Here is a 27,437-nt window from a genome sequence, read left to right as displayed (position 1 = left end):
GCCTGTAATCCCAGCACTTTGGAAGGCTAAGGCAGGCGAATCATCTGAGGTCAGGAGTTTGAGACCAGCCAGGCCAACATGGTGAAACCTCGTCTCTACTAAAATTACAAAAATTAGCTGGGCATGGTTGTGGGTGCCTGTAATCCCAGATACTCGGGAGGCTGAGGCAGGAGAATTGCTTGAACCCGGGAGGTGGAGGTGGCAGTGAGCCGAGATTGCGCCACTGCACTCCAGCTTGGGTGACAACAGCAAAACTCCATCTCAAAAAAAAAAAATTGAGTAGGGAAAAATAACTTTACGGTGGAGTAATCTGGCAAACACTACCTAATTAAGCGACGAGGTTGATATTACTAGTGATAAGTCACGTTGGTAGCATGTACCCCTGGTATGATGTGATGAGAAGGGCATTTCATCCTGATATAGGCTTCCCCTGAAGTCCCTAACTCCAGCCTAATCCTCAGAAAACATTAGACAAACCCAGAGTGAGGAACATTCTATAAAACAAGTCATGGAAGACAAGGAAAGACTGAAAAACGGTCACAGAACAGAGCAGACTAAGGAGATATGATGACTAAATGCTTTTTGGATTGGATGCTAAAACAGAACAAGATATTGATGAAATCCAAATACAGTGTGGAATTTAGTAAACAGTAATGTGCTAGTGTTAATTTCTTACTTTGACAAATGTACCATAGATTTGTAAGATTTTAGCATTAGGGAAGACTGGAGAAAGTATGCATGTGAATGGTTCATCCTACAACTTTTCTGTAAGTCCAGAATATTCCAAAGTAAAGAATTAAAAACAGAAAAATAGCTTAGATAGAGCTAAGACAAATGCTTTTTTTTTTTTTTGAGACAGACTCTCGCTCTGTCACCCAGGCTGGAGTGCAGTGGCACAATCTCGGCTCACTGCAACCTCCGCCTCCCAGGTTCAAGCAATTCTCCTGCCTCAGCCTCCAGAGTAGCTGGGATTACATGCGTGCACCACCATGCTGGGCTAATTTTTGTATTTTTAGTAGATACAGGGTTTCACCATTTTGGCCACCTGCCTCCCAAAGTGTTGGGATTACAGGTGTGAGCCACTGTGAGCGGCTTTTTTTTTTTTTTTTTTTTTGAGACAGGGTCTTGCTCTGGTGCTCAGGCTAAAGTGCAGTGGTGTGATCTCAGGTGACTGCAGCCTCAACTCTCAACCTCCTGGGCTCAAGCGATCCTTCCACCTCAGCCTCTTGAGTAGCTAGGCCTACAGGCATGTGCCACCACACCCAGCTAATTTTTGAGTTTTTTTGTAGAGACGGGGTCTCCCTATGTTGCTTAGGCTGGTCTCAAACTCCTGGGCCAAGTGCTGGGATTACAGGAGTGAGCCACTGTGCCCAGCCAGCAACAACTGCTTTTCTGTAAGATCAAATATCGTACTGGAACAAGAAATCAAATGATGTGAAATACCCCTTTCTAAAGATATTGTTGTTTTTTGTTTTTGTTTTGTTGTTGTTGTTGAGACAGGCTCTCACTCTGTCCCTTAGACTGGAGTGCAGTGGCACGATCATAGCTTACCGTTGCCTCAAATTCCTGACCTCAAATGATCTCCCACCTCAGCCTCCCAAAGCTCTGTAATTACAGGTGTGAGTCACCTCACCTGGCCCTGGCAATATCTTGAAATGTGCAAAGGCAATCATTATTTTTTATAGCAGGTAAGTTGGTCTACTACTAGGGGAGGAGGCTGCATCATTTGCTGTCTTGAGATTTCTTCCAGATCTATGATTCCAACTTAATAGGAATTTGATTTAATTCAATTTATGTGGCCAGGCGTGTGGTGGCTCACACTTGTAATCCCAGCACTTTGGGAGGCCGAGACGGGCTGATCACAAGGTCAAGAGATTGAGACCATCCTGGCTAACACAATGAAACCCCGTCTCTACTAAAAATACAAAAAATTAGCCAGGAGTGGTGCTGGGCGCCTATAGTCCTAGCTCCTTGGGAGGCTGAGGCAGGAGAATGGTGTGAACCCAGAAGGCAGAGGTTGCAGTGAGTCAAGATCGCGCCACTATACTCCAGCCTGGGCAACAGAGCGAGACTCCGTCTCAAAAAAAAAAAATTCAATTTATGCAACAGCGGCTAGTAATCTATGAATGCTAAGAAATATATGTCATATAGACTATTCTGAAATAGAGTATACTTAGTAATAATAACTTTTATTGTATTATATAATCAAACCTCATGAAATTACACTTTTTGGTACAAATAAGAGTAATGAAAAAAATTTTAACACACATAAAAATCTTTTACTAGTACTGATTCTAAATAATTTTGCTTGCTTTCCTAGTTTATTTGGACTAACAATGTCTTTTAAACATCCAACATTCTTGAGTGGCTGTTTTGCGTAAGACATTTTGTAGTATGTTAGTTGAACTGGTGAGAGTCATGGATTAAATGCTAAAAAAGATAAAAAAGAAACATTCACCGAATTATTTCAGATATAAAAACGAGGTGCATATAAATGCCTATTTAAGTATGTAACACAACACATCTGTGTACTATCCTCAGATAAAAGTCTTTTGTTTGTTCTTAAAAGTTCAGTATGATGTAGAGGAAATAAAATCCAACCGTTCAGACAGCCAAATAGCAGATGAAACAGATGGACTCTGACCAGCCATAAAGGCCAGAAAATTCTCCTGTTTTGGCTCTTAAATTTTAACAGGCATGAAAAGACCATTTTTCTCCCATTGTGATTATGATTTGCATAGCTGTATGCTTTTTCATTCTTATATACAGACCCATTAAAGTCTATATTATGAATAGCAGAATAATAATTTATAAACACTTAAAATAAATATGAGAGAGTGAGCACCACAATTAATTTGGGCTCGATGCCTAGAGAAGTCACACATTCAGATGTTCTTGACTGAGACATACACACTAGAGCCACATATTAACCAAACCTCTTGGTGGATTTCTGTTCAACTCAATGAAGGCACACAAATGTACCACAGCACTAATATTGATTCATACTGAACCGTAGAAAGATTGTCCAACTAAAATGATTTTGTAGGCCAGTATACACAAGACAATATACATGTGTGTTTGCAAACATGCAGTTAAAAGGCATAGCCATCTGATCACTGTTAGCTTTTAAACAATTTGGCCAGTGTTTGATTTTTTAGTGAAACAGCTACAAAGTTCACTTCAGCGTTTTGCTCTGGTTGCTCAATAAAAAAAAAAAGTGTTGACAAGAGATATGGTAGAGATACAACAGGGTCTTTTCCTTTTGGCAGAGGACATTCTTGGACTGTTTTGAAAAGTCCAAGGTGCAAGCTGGAAGACTCTTCTTACAAAGCTGCAAAGGGGTGATGCAGCCTCCTACCTGTCAGCCTAGTTGAGCTTTTGTTTCCATTTAAGGGTTCCTGGGGTGTGAATGTCTTTGCTACCCTGGCTTCATTGGGAATCAGTAACTCCCCTGCCTGAATGTCTCTGCAAGTGTCCAGAACCAGGACCCTTCACGTGCAGGTATAAAGAGCTGTTGAACTATGAAGAATAGGAATGGGTGGAACCCTGAATCCCACAACCCTGGTACATGGAAAGATGCAGCTAGAGAGCTGAACTATTATTCCAGAATCTACAGAATTCTCTCCCTTCTCACTTCTTTTTCTTTGAATGACACGGAGACAGCAATATCCCCAGGCATAAATTTGGAGATATGTATAAATGTGTGTGTTGTATTCCCTTTTCTCATTTCTCTTCTGGTTGTATTTCTTCTAGTGTATGTGTGCCCCACAACTTTTCTTAGGAGCACTAGGCGAAACTATAGTAGCCTAGGGAAAAAGCCTGGGCTTTGGGGTCAGACAGATCTTGCGGGATTCCTGGCTGCACTGCTTACTAGTGGGTGACCCTCACAGTCATTTTACTTTGCGTTCCCATCTTCTTATGCGTTGCATAGGAGCAAAAGCGCCCACCTCACAGAATCGCAGTGAGCACTGAGACAATGTGTCTGACATCAGGTGACAGTCAGAATTAGTTCACTTTCCTGGCTCCTGCTGCTTCTCCATCTTCTGCCCTCTAACAGTCTTGTCTGTCTTTGCCATCTCTTTCTGTTTATCTCCTTCCCCAACATGAAATTTGCATTTTCATGGCCAAAAAAAAAAAGTATGCTTTTGGCCGGGCGCGGTGGCTCATGCCTGTAATCCCAGCACTTTGGGAGGCCGAGGTGGGCAGATCACCTGAGGTCAGGAGTTCGAGACCAGCCTGGCTAACATGGTGAAACCCCGTCTCTACTAAAAACACAAAAATTAGCTGGGCATGGTGGCACGCACCTGTAATCCCAGCTACTCAGGAGGCTGAGGCAGGAGAGCTGCTTGAACCCAGGAGGCGAAGGTTGCAGTGGGTGGAGATTGCAGCATTATACTCCAGCTTGGGTGACAGAGTGAGACTCAGACTCAAAAAAAGAAGACAAGAGGCTGGGCATGGTGGCTCACGCCTGTAATCCCAGCACTTTGGGAGGCCGAGGCGGGCGGATCACAAGGTCAGGAGATCGAGACCATCCTGGCTAACATGGTGAAACCCCGTCTCTACTAAAAATACAAAAAAGTTAGTTGGGCGTGGTGGCGGGCGCCTGTGGTTCCAGCTACTCGGGAGGCTGAGGCAGGAGAATGGCGTGAACACGGGAGGCGGAGCTTGCAGTGAGCCGACATCGTGCCACTGCACTCCAGCCTGGGCGACAGAGCGAGACTCTGTCTCAAAAAGAAAAAAAAAAAAAAGGATGTTTTTAAGTAGTTTGACCTTACCAAATAAATGGAAACTTTTAAAGTTTCTAATTTAGAAATCTTGTGCCTTCAGATGTTTCAGTGTCTCTGAAAATACATGCTTAAAATGTGTAATGAACTTCCTTTTTCCGGTAACATCTCAACCCTTTTCCTAAGTTTGGGTACCGCCTGGCGCAGGAGCCTTGGTGGAAGGCGGGGAATGTCTCCAGCTAGAGGACTAGAAAGGGGATGCAGGTAGTAAGTGACTTAGCCCAGCAAATCAGAGGCTCCCAATGTGCTTCTGAACTGGACTCAGCCAATCAGATGCTCCCAACGGGAAGTGACGCAGAGACGAGTGGTTCAAAGCTGGGAGAGCGAAGGCGGCAGCAACACCCATCTGCAGGTACTGCAGGGGTCGGGTGCAGGGGTACGCCGGCCTAGCCCAAGAGGGGGGCCCTCACTCAGTCTTTTCGGAAGAGCCCCACTCACCCTCAGGCAGTTTCTTTCAGGCTTTTGTGGCTTCCTGCGCCATGCAGTTACGCTGGAGAGGGATTTAAGAAGTGAAGATAGAGACATTTTAGAGCCATTTCCCAGCTTTTGTGCCATTGTCCTGGGAATTCTTCTCTCTTAGATAAAAGTGACAGGCTACCTACCTTCTCGCAGGAATTCTCACCAGAGGGTCCTGTTTGAATTTTAATTTTAGTAACCTGATTTTTATTTCTTTTCCTCTCACTTCATTTCCGTGTATCCATGTTTGAAGGTGTGTGTGTGTGTGTGTGCGTGCATGCATCTCTGTGTGTACCTGTGTGTGTTTCTTTCTCCTCACTTTTCTCATGTTAAAGGCTAACCTGAAGTTAAAATAGTTCAAAAAGTCATCTCTGGTTAAAAACCAATAAAGCCAAAACGATAGAAAATCTAGAATTTAACAGATGCTTTTACATATTGCAAATCAAAAAACCTTTCAGTGGGCCGGGCATGGTGGCTCACGCCTGTAATCCCAGCACTTTGGGAGGCCGAGGCAGGTGGATCACCTGAGGTCAAGAGTTCGAGACCAGCCTGGCCAACATGGTGAAACCCCGTCTCTACTAAAAATACAAAAATTAGCCAGGTGTGGTGGTGTGCGCCTGTAATCCCAGGTGCTCAGGAGGCTAAGGCAGGAGAATCACTTGAATCTGGGAGGCAGAGGTTGTAGTGAGCTGAGGTAGTGCCACTGCACTCCAGCCTGGGTGACAGAGACTCCGTCTCCAAAAAACAAATCAAAACAAAAACAAACAAAAAAGGCTTTCAGTGTATAAATGCATTGTTAAATATTTTCTCATTGCATTGTTTTTTCTTTCTTTTGAGACAGGGCCTCACTCTGTCACCCAGGAGTACAGTGGCACGATCACAGCTCACTGCAGCCTTGAACTCCTGTGCTCAAGGGATCCTCCAGCCTCCACCACCACAGTAGCTGGGACTACAGGTGCGAGCCACCACACCTAGCTAATTTTTGTATTTTTACAAAACATGGTCTGGCTATGTTGCCCAGGCTGGTCTCAAGCTCCTGGGCTCAAGCGATCCTCCTGCCTTGGCCTCCCAAAGTGTTGGGATTACAGGGGTGAACCACTGCACCTGGCCTTCTCATTGCATTTTACAGTACTTTCCAGAATCACAACCCCAAATGTAAGAAACACAACTTAAATAAACACACATATTTGAAGTCATAATAGGGTTGCTCTCTTTGCTTTTTAAATCTGAGACACTTTAACCACCTATTAGTTATTGTTTATTTTCCTTTCTCTTCAAGCTGTCACATCTACCTGCGGAATTCACCTTATACCTTAGAGAGAGGCTGCAGTCAGTGACAGCTGATGGGAAATGCATCTGTTCCTTTGAGTAATTCAGCAACATCATTACTTCTCAGGTATCTGTTGAGGGTGGAGCAAGCTACAAATCGCTGATGAAATTCACTGTGTAGAAGCCGAGCTCGTGGGTTCTGCCACTTATTATCTTTGTGACTTTGGGCAAAGTGTCTCTTGGTGCCTCTGTTTCCTCCTCTGGAAAAAGACGTGCTGATGATAATAGTACCTACTTCATAGGGTGCTTGTGAATGTTAAACGGGCTAATACATGTGAAGCACTCTCCACGGAACCCAGCAGGTAGCATGTGCTGAGGACAGGCTCACCGTTGCCATTATAATGCGTATCCCTCAGTTGGCCAGTGGGGAACTTCCAGATCTAACAGCCTGGTATGGGCTGAACTGTGTCTCCCCCTACAAATTCATATGTTGAAAGCCTACTCTCCAGTACCTCAGAAAGTGACTGTGTTTTTGAATTTAGGGCCTTTAAGGTCAAACTGTCCAGGCGCCATGGCTCATGCCTGTAATCCCAGCACTTTGGTAGGCTGAGGCGGGCGGATCTCCTGAGGTCAGGAGTTCAAGACCAGCCTAACCAACATGGTAAAATCCCATCTCTACTAAAAACACAAAAATTAGCCGGGCATGGTGGCAGGCACCTGTAATCCTGGCTACTCGGGAGCCTGAGACAGGAGAATTGCTTGAACCTGGGGGGTGGAGGTTGCAGTGAGCTGAGATCATGCTACTGCACTCCAGCCTGGGCAACAGAGCCAGACTCTGAAAAAAAAAAAAGAGGTAATTAAGGTCAAATGAAGTCATGTGGGTGGGCCCTAATCCAGTATGATTGATGTCCTTACAAGAAGAGATCAGGACACAGACACACAGAAGAAAGGCCACATGAAAATATAGGGAGAAGATGGTCACCTACAAGCCAAGGAGAGAGGCCCTCAGAAGAAACTGACCCTGCTGACACCTTGATCTTGGACTGTTAGCCTCCAGAGTTGTGAGAGGATAGATTTCTGTTCTGTAAGCCCCCCCGCCTGTGGTGCTAATATCTTGGTACTTTGCTTTGGCAGCCCTAGCAAATGAATATGCTGTCCAGTCACAAGCTCTGTCCTTGCAACTGGCTCCAACCTGGGGTTCTCTGCCCTTGAACCTTTCTGATTCCCCCATCCCTCTAGATGCCCCTCATCTCCATCTCACAGCTTCCTTCGCCACTTTCTGTCCCCAGAGTGTAAAATTCCCCAGGCTCTTCCTCAACACTTTTTCTTTCTATATTTCCCCGTGAGGATGAACTGATGGCCCATTTTCATAGATCCAACTGCCACCTTTATGCCCAGGAGTCCCAAATCTATAGCTCTAGTTTTACTCCCCTGAAATCCACACAGACTTTCCAAATGCCTGCTAGACATCATGAGGATATCTTGCTAATATACCCCCCACCAAGCTCATTGTCTTTTCATCCAGATTTTTCCTCCTGCTTCTCCTCCCTCCCTTAATGCCTTTATCATTGCCTTAGTGACCCCTGCTATGAAATCAACCATTGTTTCCTTCTCTTATCACCCTCTTTCCCCTAAGCCCTATAACTCACTTCCCGAAGTTTCCTTTACTTTTCACTCTTTCCCCATTCCCCGCTACACAGACCCAGGATTCATCTCTTGCCTAATATTTTTCAATTTCTTCCTAATGATTTTCCCTACCTTGGGTTTCAGATCTCCATTTTTCAGGGATTTTTTCCCCTAAATTACAAATAATATTTTCCTCTTGAAATATCTTACTGATATTTTGTTGCCTAATTTAACAAATAAAGCCCCAAATTACTCCCACTGGCATTCGTGATTTCCATGATCTTTTAAACATCCTTTTCAGCTTGAGAGGATATATTTTGCACAAATTGTGGCTTCCACAAAATCACCTAGTACACTTTACACTGACTGCTGCCGTATCAGACTAGTGCAGAATCAGTGTAAATTGGTGATCCTACAAATAGTAATCAGAGTAATCATTTATCTTCTGCAAATATTAATAGGTCACCCTTGCCTTCTGTAGATTACAACACTTCCCTTCAAAGTAGACCCTATACAGTGAATGAAACAAAGGGGAATTCAGATTTTTTAGTAAGTGCTTTTTTTTTTTTTTTTGAGACGGGTTCTCATTATGTCCCCCCGGGCTGGAGTGCAGTGGGCAATGGGGCAATCATAGCTCACTGCAACCTTGAGCTCCGGGGCTCAAGCAGTCCTCCCACCTCAACATAAGCCACTGTCCCCGGCCAATAAATACTACTTTAAACTCCATGGAGCTTCAGCACATCTTATCCAGATCACTCTGTAGGGCTGAGGATAATGGTTTGGGGGAATGCATCCCTCATGTATCTTAGGCATATTTCTAAAACTGCATAATCACCATGGCCATTTCTGATGGCCAATGCCCAGTGCCACTCCTTGGAAAATGTCAAGAATGTAAGACTCAGGTCTGTTGCAATGAAATGCATTTCCAGTGAGGCTAATGATCCTTATGTAAATTGTTGGAATTCTTGCGTGAATAACCCTTAGCAGTAATGGCAATGAAATGGAATCTCACTTTACTTTTCTTCCTGGGGGCTTCCAGACCCTCAGGTTCACCATTGCAAATGTTCAGTAAACAGAGTGCTGAGCGTAGGTGGAAAAGAGATCTGGGTGAGGAGTGCAATTTTGGGGTTTTCCACATCCAGGAGAGAAGCAGAACTGTACCAGTGGATCCATTGTCAACCATGGAGTTCAGGAGGGGAGGGCCTGACCCTGCAAGACGCACTCGGAGAAAGAATTCATGAAAAGTGATCCCGACCTTGCAGAGCAAGCATTGTAGTTAATCACACTTAGATAAAGGAGAACAGCGTATTTCTCAGTTACGTTTCCTGTCTTCTCAAGGGTTTAGCCAGATCTCCATCAACATAGCCTAAGAACATTTTGTTTTACTTTCTAATTATTTGCTTTAAACTTTCAAACTATTTTGGTATCATTCTTCAGTATGGGCAGAGAGAAGATTTTTTTTAAGGGTTTCTTTGGGGACCATTAAATATAGTTTTTAATCTGTTTTACTTGGTTTTTATTTTAGTAATGCTCAGAGGAATATTCATGTATGAATAAGCCTGAAATAATAAAGCTTGGACTAATTGTATTTTTGGGAAATAGGTCAATTCACAGCTATAAAAAGCAAAAGGCAACATGTAGTAGCAATAGTTCTATCTGAATGTCGGTCATCTAGATTATTGCTAGCTCACACATTCCATGTGTTTTTAACTTGATATTAATGGTTAGAAATGTAGCAATGTAGTTTTTTGGGTAATTTTTGAAGAATAATGACTTCAGGTTAAAATAGGTAGGGAGTTTGGGACCCAAATTCCATCAGTAAGATTCCTTCAGCCGTCCTTCACCTGATTTGAGAAAAGTCATACAAATTCTTACCAAATTATGAACATTTGACTAATGAACATCTATCCACAAAAATCTCCTGGTGGTAGATGGGCTTCTTTCCCATCCGGGTTTTACCTGGGACAATTGAGGGGTCACGAGATCATGCTGCCACCTGGTGGTCCACATGGGTAACTAACATCTACCCTCAAACGATTTTCTCGGGGGCAGTTCAGTTCTGCTCTGTTCAATAAATCTTCATTGAGCTTTCACGAAGGCCAGGCATTGTGATCCTTACCCAGGGGACAGACCTGTCTCTAGCTACTTTTCCTTTGTGTTTTTCCATTTATAATTCAGTTTATTTAGTCTCATGCAGTTGCTTTGTTGGCACTCATATTCTCTTAAACCCTCCTCTTCCTCCTTGCCTCTCTTAACCCGTTTGGCTTCCTTAGAAATGATAATTTCTCGCCGGGCGCAGTGCTCACGTCTGTAATCCCAGCACTTTGGGAGGCCAAGGCGGGCGGATCACGAGGTCAAGAAATCGAGACCAGCCTGGCCAACATGGTGAAACCCCATCTCTACTAAAAATACAAAAATTAGCTGGGCGTGGTGGCGCATGCCTGTAATGTCAGCTACCCAGGAGGCTGAGGCAGGAGAATTGCTTGAACCCGGAAGGTGGAGGCTACAGTGAGCAAAGATCTCGCACCACTGTACTGCAGCCTGGCGGCAGAGCCAGACTCTGTCTCGCAAAAAAAAATAAAAAATAATAATAAAAAAAAGATGATTTCTCTTCTTCTTTCTCGAGTTCTGTTTGTGCAGCAGTAGTGACACTAATCACAACTTTAAAGCAAACGTGTTATGGTCTTAGATATTTTTTTCCAAGGAAAAGGAAAAGGAAAATAATACATTTCATGATTTCTCCATAAACTCGTAAAGGCCTCAAAAAGGGCCCAGAGTTCTACAGAAGGCTCTTGTCGTCTTCTCATCTGATTGTGTGTCTACATTGCTTTTACCCACTTTTCCTGAGGCACCGACATTGAACAAAAAGATTGATTCTTGTTCTTATCCATTTTCAATTTTCTGGAAATAACAAATGTTGCTTTTTACTATTTTTCATCACAAGTGTGGACCATTTCAACTCATTGTGGGTTAAACCAACTTTCTTAAGATTATTTGTGAATACAATCATTTTTAATAAAATGGTTTTTAGGGAAAATTTATTCAGAGTTCACACGAGCAGCTTAAAAGCTTTTGCAATGCAGTCCACTTCAACATGACGATTTTCTGCACTTGAAAAACAGATAAATTAGAGGCTATTTTCTTTATAATAGAAAAAAAGTGTTATTTTATAGAATAATTAATCATGGAGTTTTAAATATGATCTTCTCATTACATTTAATTGTGATTCAATTGTAAAGCATTTAGAAACAGAAGTAGTCATAAATTTAGTGGGGGTAAACACAGATTGAACCAGGAATTATCAAAGAATTTGGAAGAATTATACAACTTAAGAATTTCGTTGGTTCCAGTAAGCGCTCACATATCTGAAATATCCTTGCCTGCAGTCAAAACAATGTGAAGACTAATTACAATAAGAAATACTCAACCTTCAAATAAATTCCTACAATTCTTTGTGGAATTGCTAAATCAAAGGATATGTACATTTGTAATTTTGATAAGTACAGTAATGCTAAATTTCCCTCCATAGAGATTAAACTAATTACATTTCTATCATTTATTTTTTAATCCCCAAAGACATCATTATTTTTGTTTTATACAGTCAATGTTTGTTAGATTTATCAACACATTTAGAGCTTCCTGTGTTCTTCATTCCTTCATCATTTCTGGCTCTCCATATGGGATCATTTTTCTTTTTTTAAAATATGCCCCTTAGAATTCCCTTTAGCAAGCTTCTCCTGGTCGTAAACTCTTTGTCTTCTTTGTCTGAAAATGTCTTTCTTTGTTTCCTTCCTGAAATAATTTCAAATTGACAATTATTTTCTCTTAGCACATTGAAAATCTCATTCTTTGTCTTCCGGTTTCCACTGTGGCTGTTAAAGAATTAGGTCTCACACAGTCTGACTGTTTTAACTCCCTCTAAGGTAATTAGTTTTTTCCCCCTCTGGCTGCTTTGAAAATTTGTCTTTGCACCTTTAAAATAATTGTATTGTTTCATGTTTTTGTTTGTTTTGTTTTGTTTTAGTTCCACTGCATGTATCTAGTTGTAGATTTTCTCCCCTGCTTAGGATTTGATAAGTTTCTTAAATCTGTGGATTTGTCTTTCTTGTAAGTTATTAGTTATTATCATTTCAAATATTGTCTTTTAGTTATTTTTTCTCCTCTCTTTTTAGGACACTTATTAAATGTATATTAGACCTTCTTATTTTATCATCAATGTTTTTTAACCTCTTTTCTATATTTTTTGTCCTCTGTGCTACATTCTACATAATTTCTTCTGACCAACATCCAGTTCACCAATTTTCTCTTTAGCTCTGTCTAGCCTGCTGTTAAACTATATTTGAGTAATTAATTTTAGTTATAGGGTTGTTTGCTTTTTGGAGTTCTATTTGTTTGTTAGGGTAATTTTATAGTTCCTGATTCCCCAAAGACATTTTCTTTTCTTTTCTTTTCTTTTCTTTTTCTTTTTTGAGATAGGGTCTTGCTCTGCTGCCCAGGCTGGAAGGCAGTGGTGAGATCATAGTTTACTGCATCCTCGACCTCCTGAGCTCAAGCAATCCTCCCACCTCAGCTTCCCAAGTAGCTTGGACTATAGGCACATGCCACTGTACCTGGCTAATTTTATTTATGTTTGTGTGTGTGTGTGTGTGTGTGTGTGTGAAGACAGAGTCTCATTATGTTGCCCAGGCTGGTCTCAAACTTCTGGCCTCAAGCAATCCTCTCCCCTCAGCCTCCTAAGTGCTGGGATTACAGGCATGAACCACAGGGCCTGGCTCCCAGAGATATTTTTCAAGGTAGTCTTTTATTTCTTAATACGTAAAAACAGGTGGCTGGGCACAGCAAGGACTCTGAGGAAGGCCTGTTTCTTTTGTTTCTTTGTTTGTTTTTGTTTATTTTTGCCCAGGCTGGAATGCAGTGGTGTGATCATAGATCACTGCAGTCTCAACCTCCTCCCTCAGCCTCCCAAGTAGCTGTAACTACAGGTGCATGACACCATGCCCAGCTGATATGGTTTGGATTTGTGTCCCTGCTCAAATCTCATGTCAAATGTAATCCCCAGTGTTGGAGGAAGGGCCTGGTGGGAGGTGATTGCATCATGGGGGCAGATTTTCCCCTTGATGATCTCGTGATAGTGTGATAGTGAGTGAGATCTGTTTGTCTAAAAGTGTGTAGCACCTCCCCCTTCACTTTCTTTGTCCCACTGCAGCCATGTGGGACATGCCTCCTTCCCCTTCACCTTCCACCATGATCGTGTATCTCCTGAAGCCTCCCCAGCCATGCTTCCTGTACAGCCTGTGGAACCATGAGCCAATCGAACTTCTTTTCTTTATAAATTACCCAGTCTCAGGTAGTTCTTTATAGCACTGCAAGAACAGACTAATATACCAGCTAATTAAAACACGATTTTTTTTTTTGTAAAGATGGTGGCTTGCTGTGTTGCCCAGGCTGGTCTAGAAGGCCTAGCCTCAAGTGATCTTCCTGCCTGAGCCTCCCAAAGTGCTGGGATTACAGGTGTGAGCCACTGTGCCCAAAGCCTGTTTCTGGGAGACGTGGGATTCTTCTGATAGGTGTTTTGGCTCAAGGACTCACCATCAGTCTTACTGAACTTCCTTAGAACTGCATTGCAGCTCAAGATTCTTCCTCCTGGCCTTCCTTGTTCCCTCTCTGCTGCACAGGGACCACAACGGCAGTGTAATATAACTCTCCACTATTCCACAATTCCCTTGGCTGCCTACCCACTTTCCGGGACAGGCATTCCCCTAATAAATTCTTGCATGTCTAATTCTGTCTTGGTGTCTGCCTCTTGTAGAACCTGGACCAACATAAAGGGTACAAGGAATAATTGAAGAAAACAGATGATAAATGGGGATTTGAGGTTGCTTCACACACTGCCAGGTGGGCAAAGACGATGCTATCCTGGTTGGTAGGTGGGGTGTGAATAGTCCCTGGCACAAAGTGAGGCTTAATTACTAGAGATTTCACCAGTAATGATGTGAAAAAATGTCCCAGTGAAAGGGCCGTGGTAGAGACGCAGGCATTCAAAAGATTTGGAGGTGGGGGCAGGAAGCCATGCCTACCAAGACAGCAGAGTGGCTAGTTACTGCTACGTTGTATTGATGCCGTGCAGAGAGATAATGAGAAACTGGGACCCTTAACACATTATTCATGGTTAACTGTAGGAGGCTCAGTGGTAACTTACAAAGGGGCCCTGTCTCCTGCAGTGGAGCAGAATGAATGGAACCCACATGATCCGCTGGGGTGCATCCTGGTACGCCCTTGCCCTGCTGTAATTGTGAATGGACACATGCAACAAGCCCAGCCTTAGGAGAGTGTGATCATCAAGGGCTCACACCTCTCAGGAATGAAGAGTTGGTTCACACCACCAGGTGAGCCATCAAGAGCTGCTGAGATCATTGCTGAAGATGAGGCGAATCCCAACTGGGGAGAGGTGTAACAGCTGCAGCCCTGAAATCAGCTGCAGTGATAGAGGCGTCATTCCCCTGACACTCCTCTTTTAGGTTTCCGCTTGTTAAGAATAAATTCCCACAATAACCAAAGAGGAACTCCTCCCTGAACCCATATGGAGAAGTGCAGGACAGTACAAGGGGTGGTGGCTGGGAGATACTTCTCTCAGGTCTCCAGTTTCAGGGAGTATAACTGACCGACGGCCTCAGCTGCTCCCAGCTAATGCCCAAGCAGGGCAGGGATGCTAAGCTGGGTCTATCCCTGGGAAACACAAAACTCCTCTGATGGGCACCTTTGGCTCAGGGTTTCCCATCGGCCTTGACAAGCTCTTTTAGAACTGTACCTGCAGGGTAAGACTCTTCTATCCCCCGCTCCTTCCTTCCCTTTCTCCTTCACCTGCGTCACAGTCTGATGGCTCTCCCCATCTTCTCTGGCTTATGCCCATTTTCCTTCATTTCCTGCATTCGAGAAGTATTAGGTGTTTCCCGTAATAAATCTCTTTCTCATTTAACCCCATCGTGGTGTCTGCTTTTTTCAGCAGACTAACAGGTCTGTTATTTCTGTTGTTCTCATTCATGGTGCCTTATTTCCTTGTGTTCCTGGTTATCTTTGACTGTGTGTTCGTCACTATCATTAAACTATTAGTTAAGGGGTTTTCCCTGGGATCTGAGATGAAGGTTTTCTGCAAAAAAGATGTTCATTTGCTTCTTCTAGGCACCTGGAAATACCACTGGCCCAGGAGCACCTTACACCATGTTGTTGGCTTCAGGTCCTCTGGGATTTCTCAGGTAACATAAACCTGGGCTGCTCATCTCAGGGAGGATGAGCCCTCTCCTGAGAATATAACTCTCTTCTTAGCCTCCACCTTGTTCAGACCCAGGGCTTCCTTTCTTTTCCCTTTGTCCTCTTCAGCTTCAAAATGAAAATTCACAATTGTTAGGATCCACAGATAGCCTTTGGGCAAATGTAGCCTTCATACTCCACATACCATTCTGGGTTTCTGTTTCTCCTCCAACATTTGCAGGGTAATTCCTCATGATCAGATGAGGATTTTAAAAATATTTTATTTAGCATTTTTAGTTGTTTTCGGGTGGAAGGTTGGTGGAAATAGCACATCATTACCAGACAACAAAGGTCAGATGTGTTTGTTTTCTCCGTATGGATTTAGAATCAGTTTTGTCTGATTGCCAGAAAACAGTCTGTTGGATTTTTTAAAAACTCAAATATATTAATTATTTACAAATCAGTTACATTTACTGACATAGTCTATCAAATTTTGTGTTCACTTTTGTTTCTTGTAACTCACGTTTTTCTCCTGGGATCAGATTTCTTCCTGCTGAAGCACCTCTTTCAATGTTTCTTTTGGTACATGTCTGAAAATATCCTTAATTTGCCCTCATAATTGTGTGAAACTTAAGCTGGACACAAAATTGTGATTTGACAGTTATTTTCCTTCAGTCCTTTAAATATATGACTATTTTATTCTGGCATCTATCTATTCTTGCTGCCAATTTAATGATTAATCTTTTGTAAATAATCTGTCTTTTATCTTTGATAGCTTTTGAGACTTACTCCTTCTCTTCTTGTTGTTTAATTTCATCGAATGTGTCTCCATGGGAATTCATCCTAATCTTGCTTGTTGCTCAGAGTTCACTCTCAATGTGCAGTCACCTCACACTTGCAGTTTTTGGCTATTCAAATGTTGTTTCCCTGCCATTCTTTCCGTTTTCTTCTGGAAATGTTTGTTGGAGCTTCTGAACTATCTTTTAAAAATTTTTAATTTTGTAAAGACAGAGTCTTGGCATGTTGCCAAGGCTGGTCTTGAATCTTGGGCTTAAGCAATCACCTATCTCAGCCTCCCAAAGTGCTGGGATTACAGGCATGAGCCACTGCACCTGGCCATCAACTATCTTTTACATTTGTTAACTGATCGTTCTCTATCTTACTCAGATGTTTCCACTTGGCTTCAAGGCCCCCAATCCCCAACACAAAAGTGTTTCTAGTCTTTTTTTTTTTTTGAGTTGGCGTCTCACTCTGTCACCCAGGCTGGAGTACAATGGTGCGATCTTGGCTCACTGCAACCTCTGCCTCCCTGATTCAGGCAATTCTCCTGCCTCACCCTCCTGAGTAGCTGGGATTACAGGTGCCTGCAACCACATCTGGCTAATTTTTGTATTTTTAGTAGAGACGGGGTTTCACCATCTTGGCCAGGCTGGTGTCAAACTCCTGACCTTGTGATCCACCCACCTTGGCCTCCCAAAGTGCTGGGATTACAGGCATGAGCCACTGTGCCCAGCCTGTTTTTAGTCTTATAGTGGCATTCTGGGGCTCTTGTGTTGTAGTGATATTGAGTTGCACATTGTCTTAGTTTCCTAGGCTACCTTAACGAAGTACCACAGACTGAGTTACTTAAACAACAGAAACTTATTTTTGTACAATTCTGGAGACTGGAAGTCCAAGATCAAGGTGCTGGAGGGATTGGTTTCTCTCGAGGTCTCCTTGGCTTGTAGATGCTGTCTTTTTCCTGTGTCTACACAATGCCTTCCTCTGTGCATGTCTGTGACCTGATTTCCATTTTTTTCTGGGTGGGGGATGTTTTTGAGATGGAGTCTTGCTCTTTCACCAGGCTGGAGTGCAGTGGTGTGATCTTGGCTCACTGCAACCTCCACCTCCCAGGTTCAAGCGATTCTCCTGCCTCAGCCTCCCGAGTAGCTGGGACTACAGGCACGCGCCACCACGCCCAGCTAATTTTTGTATTTTTAGTAGAGGCAGGGTTTCACCATATTGGCCAGGATGGTCTCGATCTCTTGGCCTCGTGATCTGCCTGCCTGGGCCTCCCAAAGTGCTGGGATTACAGGTGTGAATGACCACGCCTGGCCCTGATTTCCACTTTTTTAAGGACATCAGTCATATTGGATTAGGACCCAACCTAATGTCCTGATTTTAATTTAATTATCTCTTTAAAGGCCCTATCTCCAAATACAGTCCCATTCTGAGGTACTGGGGAGTAGAACTTCAATGTATTAATTTTGGGGAGATACAATTCAAACCATAATGCACATCTAATCCTTCTGCTTGGTCAATGCTTGGTGCATTCATTTTTTTTGAGCTACTGTAACAAATTACCACAAACTGAGTGGTTTAAAACAACAAAAATTTATTGTCTCACAGGTCTGGAGGCCAGAAGTCTGAAATTAAGGTGTCTGCAGGGCCACGCTTCCTCAGAATGCTCCAGGGGAGGATCTGTCCTGGCCTTTCTAGGAACTGCCTTCCGTTATTTCAGTGTTCTGTAAACTGGCCTCTGGGGTCCCCAGGCTTTCCTTAGTTTATGGCAGCATCTCTCCAATCTCTGCCTTTATCTTCACATGGCTGTCTTTCTCAGTGTGTCTGTGTCTCTTCCCTTTTTTTTTTTTTTTTTTTGGTAAAGATGGGGTCTTTTTATGTTGCTCAAGCTGGTCTGGAACTCCTGGGCTCAAGCAATCCTCCTGCCTTGGCCACCCAAAATGCTGGGATTACCAGCATGAGCCACCTCACCTGGCCTCTCTTCTCTTCTTATAAGGACACTAGTCATACTGGATTAGGACCTATCCTAACAACTTCATATTAACTTCATTACATCTGCAAAGACCATTAACAGTCTTTGACTGTTAAGGGGTTAAGACTTCAAGGCATCTTTTTGGAGGACACAACTCAAGCCATAATACTTGGTCATGAAGGGTTTCCGTGACCATCCATGCCTTAGGTCTGCTATTTGCTAAAATATTTAGCCCTAGGTTGTGTTTGTTTTAAAATATAGTCTATTAGTAGAAAATTCGAGGTATTGTAAGGCCAACATATCAGGAGAGGACTGACATTGCAAAGAGAGCTTGTTACTTACAGTTCCCAGGAGAAAAAGGGCACACCATGCCAGGCAGGGCTATAAGGGAAACCAAGTTGCTCAGGAGGAAGAGGAAGAGAGTGGGAACTGTGGGCAGAGTCTTTTTTTTTTTTTTTTTTTTTTTTTTTTTGAGTTGGAGTCTCGCTCTGTGGCCAGGCTGGAGTGCAGTGGCACAATCTCGGCTTACTGCAACCTCTGCCTCCCGGGTTCAAACAATTCTCCTGCCTCAGCCTCCTGAGTAACTGGGATTACAGGCACCCGCCACCACGCCTGGCTAATTTTTGTATTTTTAGTAGAGACGGGGTTTCACCATGTTGGCCAGGTTGGTCTCGATCTCTTGACATCGTGATCTGCCTGCCTCGGCCTCCCAAAGTGCTGGGATTATAGGCGTGAGCCACCGCGCTTAGCTGGGCAGAGTCTTTACTGTAGTTTCCACAGGAACAAACAGGCAAGGCCGAGTAAACAGGCTTAGGATGGCTGGCTTGAATCATCTCAGTGGACTCTGGACACAGTGACTGGCCCTAGTTGCCTGGCACCTGGTCCTGTGGTGATTAGAGCAAGGGGATACTAGCTCAGAGTATGTGAGCCCAATACAGGAGGTGGTTGGGCTCTGGACTGGTTCGTTGGTATTTGAAAAACATGCTTGTGGATGAGTTGTTTACTATCTCTAAAAACTGGCTTACCCTGGGAGGAGCAGTCCCTCCAGGGTCAACCAGGCCCTGGATGTCCAAAGCATCAGAATACAGAAAATGAAAGATGTGGTTAATACAGTGTGCAGGAACAGTTTTTTCCACCCCTTTTCACATGCTAGGGAAGCTCCACCTCAGGTCCTGGCCTTGTTATTGAGCCTGGCTTCACCCCTTTATCACACCGGAATCAATCCCAACCATACTGTTCTCCTCTGGAGCTGGAGCCCATCTGGCCTTGCTTTGCAGTTCTGTTCTATTTCCAGTGCAAAGAGATAGAGATTTTTGTTTTGTTTTCTTTTTGAGTCTGGTTTCTATTTTTATATTTTATCTCTCATGACTGAGTTTTAAGAAGAGGAGTGCTTTAAAGCATAAATTCATTGCACCATCTTGACCAGATGTCTGATTTGTTGTTTGGATACTTGTGCTTGTGTTTACTTGTTTGTTTGTTTGCTAAGGTGGGAGCTGTCAGAGCATGATTATGTGATTCTGGGAAAGGCCAAATTGAGAGGAGGAGTACAGGGGATAATTGGTGCACTGAACTTCCTGAGACAGGGTGCAGAGATGGGGTTGAGGGCTCATGGGACGACACTATCAGGAGGGACACTCCCTCTAAGGGAAGGAGAAGGGCTTGGCCTTGGATCTGGGTGGCTTCTGGTTTCGGTGACAGAAAGTTGGGGTGGGCTTCACACGGTGGTTACTGCCTGTCTCTATGAAACAGGACACGAGGCTATCAGCTGAGGGGAAGAGGTGATAGGGCAAGAGGAGTGGACATTTGCAGAGAAAGATATTCTAAAATAGGAACTGACTCTTTAAAATTCTAAAAACTACCAAATCCTGGAGTTGATTGAAAATACATAAATACATTTTGAGTATTCTGCAAGCAAAATGGATTTTGAATGGCTATGTGTCATGTATGAGGAATATAGATATTTCTGTCAATATTTCAACTTTTAGTAGGTCTTTTAATGACCTAGCACTTTTGACTGTGCCTCAGAAGAGTGACCATGGGAAAAATTCTGTATTTCTTTTTCTGAAATCCAGTCTAAAGAAATCCACAAAATTTCATATGAAGGTTAGATAGCTTTAAGACTAACAGGATTTGCCTAGTTCTGGTTTTCTTGATTATTTTTATGTCATTTCTAAATTTTATTTTGGACCATTTAATAATAGCTACAGAATCAGCTTGGCTGGGTTTTAATCCTGACTGTTCTATTTATCAGCTATGTGAAGTTGAGGAAGTAATTTTTTTTTTTTTTGAGATGGAGTCTCGCTCTGTCGCCCAGGCTGGAGTGCAGTGGTGCGATCTTGGCTCACTGCAACCTCTGCCTCCCGGGTTCGAGCAATTTTCCTGCCTCAGCCTCCTGAGTAGCTGGGACTACAGGCATGCACCACCATGCCTGGCTAATTTTTTGTATTTTTAGTAGAGATGGGGTTTCACCATGCTGGCCAGGCTTGTCTCAAACTCCTGACTTCGTGATCCACCCCCCTCGGCCCCCCAAAGTGCTGAGATTACAGGCATGTGCCACTGCACCCCACCCAATGAAGTAGTTTAATATCTTTGTGTCTCAGTTTCTTCACCTGTAACATGGGCAGAATAGTAACATTTACCTCATGGAGTCATTGTAAGAATCAAACTAGATGATATATGGAAAGCACTTAGAACAGAGCCTGGTGCCTAGATAATAAAGGTTAGCTGTTCTTGTCACTTTTAATGGCTGTAAAATATTCTGCTGTATGGCTCTGTAATAATTTATTTAGCTAACTGCCCATTGATAGCTATTTGAGTTGCTTCTAATATTTTTTATTGTGATAAAAAACAAAATTTGGTGATGCCTTAGTCTGTTTTCTGCTGCTATCACAGAATACCACAGATTGGGTAATTTTTAAAGAAAAGAGATTTACTTGGCTTATGGTTCTGGAGGCTGGAAAGTCCAAGTTCAAGGGGTCATGTCTGGTGAAGGAGTTCCAGATGCATCGTAAGATGGCAGAAGGGAAGAAGGGCAAGTGAGCATACGAGGCAAAGAGAAAGGGGGCTGAACTCCCACCATAACTAACCCACTTCCATGATAATGGCATTAATCCATTCCCCGCCATTGTGACCTAATCAATTCTTAAAGGTTCTAGCTCCCAACACTGTTACAATGGCAATTAAACTTCAAGGTGAGCTTTGGAGGGAACATTTAAACCATAGCAGGTGAATACATAAAAAGGTGGAGCAATGGAATCTTATATGCCATAAACAGGTATCAACCATTTGGAAAATAGTAGGGGAATATTCTATAGAGTTGCAGATAAACATACAAATTCGACTCTTATGGATATACCCTAGAGAAACTGTTACACAACCATGCCGGAAAATATATGTAGGGATGTATATAGCAGCACTGTTCTTAGTAGCCCCAGTGGAAAGGTTCCAAATGTTCAACAAGAGTAGACTGGATAAATATGACTGTGGAAATAAATGAACTACCACAATGTGCAACTTGGGAGAAACTCACAAGCTTAATTTGAGAAAAAGAAGCAGGTTACATTCTTATAGCCCTCAAATTCATATAGAATCTCAAGGACCTCCAAATAGCCAAAACAATGGTGAAAAAGAAGAACAAAGTTGGAGGTCTCAAACATCCTAATTTCAAAACTTACCACAAAGCTATCATAATCAAAACAGTGTGGTAACTGGCATAAAGACACACATGTAGGCCAATGGAATAGAATAGAGAATCCAGAAATAAACCCTCCCATATATGGTCAGATGTTTTTCAACAGGGTGCCAATACCTGGGGAAAAGACAGTCTCTTCAACAAATAGTATTGGAAGAATTGGATATTGTCATGCCAAAAAAAAAAAAATGAAGATGAATCCTTACCTTACACTGTATATAAAAATTAATTTGAAACTTAAGTATAAGACCTAAAACTATAAAATTCCTAGATGAAAATATAGGAGAAAAGCTCCATGACACTGGATTTGGCAATGACTTTTTGTATTAACACTAAAAGCATAGACAACAAAACAAAAATTAGCTAGGTGAACTACACCAAACACTTAAAACTTCTGTGCATCAAAGGACATAGTTAACAAAGTGAAAAGGCCACCTATGGAATGAAAGAATTATTTGCAAATCATATGTCTGATAAGGGGTTCACTTCCAGAATATATAAAGAATGAAAACACAGCAACAAAAAGCAAACAAACAACCAGTTTTAAAAATGAGTGAATAGACATTTCCCCAAAGAAAACATATAAACCACCAATAAGCACACAAAAAGATGGTCAACATCACTAATCATTAAGGAAATGCAAATCAAAGCTGGGCATGCTGCCATGAGCCTGTACTCCCAGCTACTCAGGAGACTGAGGCAGGAGGATCCCTTGAGGCCCAGAGCTTGAGACTGCAGTGCACTATGATTGTGCCTGTGAATAGCTACTGCACTCCAGCCTGGGCAACATAGCAAAACCTCATCTCTAAAAAAGAAAGAAAGAAAAAAGAAAATGCAACTCAAAACCACAATGAGATACATACACATCACATCCATTAGGTTGGCTACTATTAAAAAAAAAAAACAGCTAATAACAAGCGTTGGCAGATATGTGGAGAGATTGAAATCCTTGTGCCTGTTAATGGGAATGTAAAATGGCGTGGCTACTGTAGAAAACATGGCAGTTCCTCAAAAAATTAAAAATAGAACTATCATATGATCCAACAATTCCACTTCTGGGTATATATCCAAAAGAACTGAAAGCAGATATTCAAAGAGATATCTGTACGCCAAGGTTCATAGCAGCTTTGTTCACAATAGCCAAAAGGAGGAAGCAACCAAGCACCGAGGGATGGATGGATAAAGAAAATGTGAGCGGGGTGCGGTGGCTCACCCTTGCAATCCCAGCACTTCGGTAGGCTGAAGCAGGCGGATCGCTTGAGGCCCAGAGTTTGAGGCCAGCCTGGGCAGCATGGCGAAACCCCATCTGTACAAAAACTACAAAAATTAGCCCGGCATGGTGGCACACACCTGTGGTCCCAACTACTCAAGGGGCTGAGGAGGGAGGATTGCTTGAATTCAGGAGGTGGAGGCTGCAGTGAGCCGAGATCGTGCCACTTCACTCCAGCCTGGGCGTCAGAATGAGACCCCTATCTCAAAAAAAAAAAAAAAAAAAAGTAATAAAATGTGGGCCGGGTGTGGTGGCTCACACCTGTAATCCCAGCACTTTGGGAGGCAAGGTGGGCAGATCACCTGTCGGGAGTTTGAGAACAGCCTGACCAGCATGGAGAAACCCCATCTCTACTAAACATACAAAATTAGCAGGACGTGGTGGCGCATGCCTGTAATCCCAGCTACTTGTGAGGCTGAGGCAGGAGAATCGCTTGAACCTGGAAGGTGGAGGTTGCGGTGAGCCGAGATCACGCCATAGCACTCCAGCCTGGGCGACAAGAGTGAAACTCTGTCTCAAAAAAAAAAAAAAAAGAGAAAAGAAAATGTGACACACACACATATATATATATATACATACAATGGAATATGTTTCTTCTTTAAAAAGGAAATACATTCTGACATATGCTACAACATGGATGAACTCTGAGGACATTATGCTAAGTGAAATAAGCCAGTCACAAAAGGACATATACTTTAATTCCACTAATTTGAGGTACCTAGAAATAGGCAAATTCAGAGACAGAAAGTAGAATTGTGGTTGCTCGGGGCTGTGGAGGGGAGTTGTGTAATGGTCACAAAGTTTCAGTTTTGCAAAAGACAAAAAGAGTTCTGTGGCTGGATGGTGGTGATAAGTCCATAATAAGGTGATTGCACTTAATGTAACTGGACTGTACATTTTAAAATGGTTCAGAGGGTAACCACTTTGTTGTATATATTTTACCATAATTAAAAAGAAAAAAGCAGGTCACAAAATAATACATACAATAAAATTCTACTTACATAAAATTCAAAAGTGAGCAAAGCTTGCATTCATGGATGGTAGAACTGCAAAGAAAAGCAAGGAAATTATTCTTGTAAAAGTCAAGATGAATGGTTATTCTCTCTAGTGGGAGAGGGAGTCGGGGGACTTTTGGGTGCTGGCCAAGTTCTATATCTTGATTTGGGTTGTTAGGTGGATGTTCACTTTATGACTCTTTTTAGCTGCACATATATTTCACGTATTCTTCTCTGTCCTTGATGTATTTCACAGTTAAAAAAGAAAAGCAGACCGGCGCAGTGGCTCACGCCTGTAATCCCAGCACTTTGGGAGGCTGAGGTGAGCAGATCACCTGAGGTCAGGAGTTTGAGACCAGCCTGGCCAATATGGTGAAACCCCATCTGTACTAAAAATACAAAAACTCCTGGGCGTGGTGGTGCGCACCTGTAATCCCAGCTACTTGGGAGGCTGAGGCAGGAGAATTGCTTGAACCCTGGAGGCAGAGGTTGCAGTGAGCCAAGATCGCACCACTGCACTCCAGCCTGGGTGACAGAGCAAGATTCTGTCTCAAAATAAATAAATAAATAAATAAATAAATAAATAAATAAATAAGTGTAAAGCATGCTACTGCTCTATGGTTATTCAATCAGACGATACTGTGGCAAAAGCAACTAACAGTTTTAAGGAAACCACTTCACAGCCTTCCAGTGAAACAACTCTAGGATTTCCCGTTCATTCTCCCTGGTGGGTCTGGAATTGATAGCTCTCCAGCCACCAGCATCACAGGAGCCCGGCCTGGCACTGTGGCAAGAGGTGGGAGAAGTTAAAGGAATACACGTGCAAGGCTGGTCTCTGAATTGGATCTGGGGCTTGAATTTTACTTTTTAACTATTCATGACACTTCATTTAATTCGTGAGTCAAAATCATCACGTGATGAAAGGAGCCAGTCACAAAAGGCAAGATATTGTACGACTGCCTGTATATGAGGTACCTAGAATTGTCAAATCCATAGAGACAGGAAGGAGAACAGTGGTTTCCAGGAGCTAGAGGGGAGGGAGGAATGGGAATTAGTGCTTAAAAGGAACTAATAGTGCTTAAAAAGAACAGTTCCTGTTTGGGATGATGAAAAAGTTCTGGAAATGGATAGTAGTAATTGTTGCAGAAAAAATGTGAATATACTTAATGCCACTGGATTGTATACCTAAAAATTGTTCAAATGGTAACTTTTCTGTTATGTATATTTTATCACTTTTAAAAAAAGAACAAGTGAATTTCTTTAATCTTGATTATTCAATTCAATGGGGAAAAGAAAGATGTGCTTTAACTATGTCTAACTCAAAACTCTGGTTTGGGCTGGGTGAGGTGGCTCATGCCTGTAATCCCAGCACTTTGGGAGGCCAAGGTGGGCGGATCACCTGAGGTCAGGAGTTCAAGACCAGCCTGACCAACATGGAGAAACCCCGTCTCTACTAAAAATAACAAAATTAGCCGGGCGTGGTGGCGCATGCCTGTAATCCCAGCTACTCGGGAGGCTGAGGCAGGAGAATGGCTTGAACCCGGGAGGCAGAGGTTGCGGTGAGCTGAGATCGCGCCATTGCACTCCAGCCTCAGCAACAAGAGTGAAACTTCGTGAGTGAAACTCTTTCTCAAGAAACAAAACAAACCAAACAAACAAACAAACAAAAAAACAAAAAACCTCTGCTTTGAAGTGTTTCTGGTGACCAGCCAGGCATCATCAATATTATCATACACAAGAATTTGCTGACTGCTCACTGTGGGCCTTGTCTGAGATAAATGCTGTGATTGAAGGTAAAAAAAAATGACTTTAAGAATATTATTTATTACTAATGAAGCAACTCTTGGCATTCCAAGAATTTCAAGAAAAGTATAAACAACTGTAGATTCTCTTGAGTGCCAAAGACAAAAGTTATATATCATGTCCAAAGTATGTAAAGAGCTAGATGTTCACCCTTTGGGTGCAGAGGATGGGAGGCACAGTGGTAAATACAGAGGACTTGGAGGAGGTTATTGTCATAAAATATAGCAGAGCAACAAGAGAATCAATCAATCAATCATGGTATGGTCATAGAGCGATTACTATATAGCAACCCTAATGAATGAATTAAGCTACTCACGACCAGGATGAACCAATGCCAAGGAGAAAACAAATCACAAAGCAATATAAACATCATGGTTTTATTTAAAGTTCCTTAAAAAGTTCATAAATAGACAAAGCGATTCTCTGTTGTTTAGAGTGCACACATGGAGGAGATAAAGAGCAAATAAATTACTACCACAAAAGTCAGGCGAGTGGTGACTTCTGCAGGGAGCGAGGGAGGAGGCATCAGGAGTGGCTCTGGGACAACTGCCACAGCTTTCCTTCACTCTGGTCACGGTTACACCGGCTGGCTTTATAACTAATGGCTAAACTCTACATGTATAGCTATTCTATCGCCCAAAGCAATAGTGAAAAGCACAGAGGAGCAGCTCTGTCTGCACAGGGCTGCTTTACTGAGTGTGGGAAACATGAAGGGGGATCCCATCATGTTTGCTATGGTGATTTTTCCACACAGCTACCCGGAAACTTCTATCTAAATTTTTTTTTCTTATTGTGTGTACTTAAGGCATACAACATGATGTTATAAAAATACATATATAGGCTGGGCACAGTGGCTCACGCCTGTAATCCCAGCACTTTGGGAGACCAAGGTGGGAGGATCCCTTGAGGCCAGGAGTTGGAGACCAGCCTGGCCAACATGGTGAAACCGTATCTCTACTAAAAATACAAAAATTAGCCAGGCATGGTGGTGCGCGCTTGTAGTTCTAGCTACCTGGTAGGCTGAGGCAGGAGAATCCCTTGAACCCAGGAGGCAGAGGTTGCAGTGAACCGAGATTGTGTGACTGCACTCCAACCTAGGCAACAGAGTGGGATTCTGTCTCAAAAAAACAACAATAAAAACCCACAAAATACATATATAGTAAAATAGTTACTATGATGGAAAAAATTAATAAACATATTCATCATCTCACATAGTTACCCATTCCTCAGCCCCACACTATCCTTGGCCCCATCTGGTGACAAGTACAACTATAATCTGCCCATTTAGCAAAAATCCTGAATATAACACACTTTTTTTTTTTTTTTGAGACAGAGTCTTGCTTTGTCACCAGGCTGGAGTGCAGTGGCATGATCTCAGCTCACTGCCACCTCTGCCTCCCGGGTTCAAGCAATCCTCCTGCCTCAGCCTCCTGAGTAGCTGGGACTACAGGTGCGTGCCACCACGCCCAGCTAATTTTTTGTATTTTTAGTAGAGACAGGGTTTCACCATGTTGGCTCGATCTCTTGACCTCATGATCCACCC

The 27,437-nt window shown here is 42.7% G+C and overlaps 1 long non-coding RNA gene across 3 annotated transcripts in view, besides 1 other annotated feature; it reads left to right on the top strand.

Annotated features, from left to right (window-relative positions):
• The window catches only part of LOC105377578 (uncharacterized), a 33,621-nt gene extending 8,529 nt beyond the window's left edge, over positions 1-25,092 (top strand). The window contains exons 2-4 of one of the 3 annotated variants that reach the window (XR_007058410.1): positions 6,082-6,195; positions 6,520-6,636; positions 10,409-10,735. This is a non-coding gene — a long non-coding RNA (uncharacterized LOC105377578). Of the gene's footprint in view, positions 1-6,081; positions 6,196-6,519; positions 6,637-10,408; positions 10,736-24,347 lie in introns of those variants that run through there. The other 2 variants (XR_001741938.2, XR_939537.2) reach the window with 2 other exon arrangements.
• Positions 18,802-19,096: an enhancer, noted in NCBI's record as "tiled region #3150; HepG2 Activating DNase matched - State 8:EnhW". NCBI's record gives its function as "activates a minimal TATA promoter and a strong SV40 promoter by Sharpr-MPRA in HepG2 cells {active_cell/tissue: HepG2}" and the evidence as "EXISTENCE:reporter gene assay evidence [ECO:0000049][PMID:27701403]".
• Positions 25,093-27,437: the final 2,345 nt, after the last annotated feature.

The sequence above is a fragment of the Homo sapiens genome, chromosome 4, assembly GCF_000001405.40.
Source record: "Homo sapiens chromosome 4, GRCh38.p14 Primary Assembly".
In the NCBI taxonomy this organism is placed as follows: Eukaryota; Metazoa; Chordata; class Mammalia; order Primates; family Hominidae; genus Homo; species Homo sapiens.
The sequence above is the reverse complement of the archived record's forward strand: the minus strand, read 5'-3'. Positions and strand labels throughout refer to the sequence as shown.